The 3,166-nt window shown below is 47.1% G+C and overlaps 1 protein-coding gene across 1 annotated transcript in view, besides 1 other annotated feature; it reads left to right on the forward strand.

Annotated features, from left to right (window-relative positions):
• The window catches only part of ZNF765-ZNF761 (ZNF765-ZNF761 readthrough), a 63,113-nt gene that overhangs the window by 33,659 nt on the left and 26,288 nt on the right, over nt 1–3,166 (forward strand). The gene's annotated exons all lie outside the window — the stretch shown is intronic.
• Nucleotides 3,054–3,133: a silencer, noted in NCBI's record as "silent region_11010". NCBI's record gives its function as "represses an Ori minimal core promoter by ATAC-STARR-seq in GM12878 lymphoblastoid cells {active_cell/tissue: GM12878}" and the evidence as "EXISTENCE:reporter gene assay evidence [ECO:0000049][PMID:35858748]".

The raw sequence follows: 3,166 nt of genomic DNA on the forward strand, positions 1-3,166 counted from the left end.
ATTGAATAGAGAGATCAGCTTCTGACACTGATGAATGCAAACCACAAGAAACCAAGTCTCCTCTGCAAAATGATGAAAACACTCGCAAAGTCACTAAAATCAATCATTTCAGACTTCTGAAATTTACCAAAGCCACAGAACAAAGTGAAAAGTATCTATCCCACAGAAAGTACCAAACTTCAGTAAGACAGCAGCATTTGTGTCATTTTAATGTGGAGGCATTACCATTACCCTCCATCCTTCGTTCAGTGTAGAGCACTGACCTCTTTTGAAGCTCCTTTTAAACACCTCCTATCAGGCCAGTCGCGGTGGCTCAAGCCTGTAATCCCAGCACTTTGGACGACAGAGCGAGACTCCATCTGAAAAAAAGAAAGAAAAAAAAAAGAGAAAGTGACTTTTCAAGACTGTGATTTATGGTCTCCCCTGGGAACCAACAGTATCTGTGCTGAGAGCAGATATTTGGGTGGAAGGGGCTCTGGTGTGCAGGGCATGCCTTCTGTAGCTCAGTGCTTCTGACAATGGGTCCGAGGGGAGAAACATTGGCATTAACAGGGAACTTGTTAAAGATGCCAATTTATAAATGCTACCTCAAACCTGCAGAATCAAACATTATTACAGTGGGTTGTGGAGTGCCAGATGACTTATATTCACCTTAAAGCTTGAGAGTCAGTGCTTAGCTAAGAGGCTCTCAGCCCAGGCTTCCAGTTGGATCAAATGGTCATATTCAGTTACTACCATCACCTGTGCCCTCCCCATAGCGTCTGTCTATTGGTGTCGGGGGAAACATCCATGCTGTTTCAATTAACTACCCTGCCCCCAGGTGATTCTAGGGTGAGGAGAAGTCCAGCATGAGGGCTTCCATATGCATTTGTGAAGGTTGATGGCAGACTGTTCCAAATGAGAATAATGGTTTCCGTGATATGATAAAAGCAATGCTATTGAATATGATGATGACTGATGAGAAGTTTTGCATAGCATTCGCTGTAAAAAAGCCACTTATAGGCTGGGCACGGTGGCTCACGCCTGTAATTCCAGCATTTTCGGAGGCTGAGGTGAGCAGATCACCGGAGGTCAAGAGTTCAAGACCAGCCTGGCTAACATGGTGAAACCCTGTCTCAACTAAAAATGCAAACATTAGCCAGATGTGGTGGTGGATGCCTGTAATCCCAGCTACTTGGGAGGCTGAGGCAGGAGAACTGCTTGAATCTGAGAGGTGTAGGTTGCAGTGAGCTGACATCATGCCTCTGCACTCCAGCCTGGGTGAGAGAGCAAGACTACGTCCAAAAAAAAAAAAAAAGAGAGAGAGAATTTTCCTGTAAATAATTAAAAAGACTAAGCAGCCCCAGAGATAAGACCTCCTGGGATCATTGTCCCTTTATATTGAGTGATAAAGTAACCTTCCTTGAAGTATATCAATCCATAACCAATCACCTTGCTGCACCCTATGTACTGGTCTTGAATGGAAAATGTGGTGATTCTTCTAAAGCTTCTCTGTCTTTCCGTGTGTGTGAAACCTAAGGGAACGCTGATCCCATTCATTTGGAGTTGATGTTTCCAGGTGGCTATCCTCATGCTTTGTGTTCAAATAAACTCTGTGCTTAATCATATATTCTAAATTTTATTATTTACTGCTGATATCAGTTTCTGTCAGACTGTAGGAGCCTCACCAGAGAGGGCACCTGTCGCTATGTTGTAAAACTCACACTTGTCAGAAAGACATGGGTTAGTGTTACTCCCCGTCCCTCAGAATGAAGCTAATTAGCTGACACAGATGGTCACCTCCATTACCAAGTAGAGTCAGGATGAACTATGTGTGACCAAGAGTGTTGTCAAGTCCTCTTCCCTGAGGACTGATTAGCGTTTATCTTGAAAACATGTCCTTAATGGGTTGTATAGAACAGTAAAGTTTCTTTCTCTTTTTTCAACCTCTTAGCTGTTTGCCTGTATTTCGCATCACAATCTGGTCTAAGGCTTATTTATTAATGAAATGGTTTTAATTTCTTTCTCTATGATCATCGTGGAGATGATTTCTCATTTGGAGAAAGACTTTTTGTTTGTTTTCAATTATATTTTCTCAACAATTAGACAGTGAAGTAAAAAGTATTTTGGGGGGGCCAGGCACAGTGGCTCACGCCTGTAATCCCAGTACTTTGGGAGGCCGAGGCAGGTGGATCACTTGAAGTCAGGAGGTTGAGACCAGCTGGCCAACATGGGGAACCCACCTACAAAAATACAAAAATTAGCCGGGCATGGTGGCACGCGCCTGTAATGGCAGGTACTCCGGAGGCTGAGGCAGGGGAATCGCTTGAACCCAGGAGGCAGAGGCTGCAGTGAGCCCAGTTCCTGCCACTGCACTCCAGCCTGGGCGACAGAGAAATGCTCTGTCTCAAAATAAAAGAAAAGAAATAAGTAAATAAATAAAAGAAAGTAATAGATCTCTTCTACAAATGTGCTGGGACAACTAACTGGATATCCACATGGAAAAGAATAATGTATCCCTATCTCACACAATCAAAATTTTATTTTAACGTTAAAAAATGGAGAAAAAAAGAGAGAGAGACGAGGGAGGGAGTCCTGAGGGAGGGGTGTTACTTTGTCGCCCAGGCTGGCCTGGACCCCCAGGCTCAGCGATCCTCTCGCCGCTGCTTCCTGAGTAGCTGGGAACTCAGGCTCCCGCCCCCGCGCCTGAATCCTTGCTGTGTTTATCCAGCAGGTCGCCCCTGGCTGGCCTGAGCATTCCGTCCCGCATCCCAGGGGGAGGCCCTAGGGAAGTCTCTGCAGCTGAGCACGGGGTGGACTCTCCCTCCTGAGTGAGTGGAGAATAGAAAGGGAGAGGATTTCTGTTCTGTTCTGTGGGCCGTCAGCATGAAATCGTACGTTCCGCCCAGGCAGGGCCTTGCATTTTACATTCTAGTTTGTATCCCGTTCCAGACAATTCCAGGGCTTTTGAGTCCATGCGTCAGCCTTCCTGGGCGGTCTCACCTTCACCACCCGAAAACAGGTGCTAGGAGAGAAGCTGAGAGGAGCACCGGTCACGCCCCGGCCCCGCCCTCTGCCGGCTCTAAAGCGCAAGGTCTCTCCGCCTCGCGCCCCGCCCCTGCCTCGTCCAGGCCCCGCCCACCTCCTTGCGGGTCCCGCCCAGGCCTGGCTTCTGCTCTGCGCGCGC

Source organism: Homo sapiens, chromosome 19 (genome assembly GCF_000001405.40).
Source record: "Homo sapiens chromosome 19, GRCh38.p14 Primary Assembly".
Classification (NCBI taxonomy): Eukaryota; Metazoa; Chordata; class Mammalia; order Primates; family Hominidae; genus Homo; species Homo sapiens.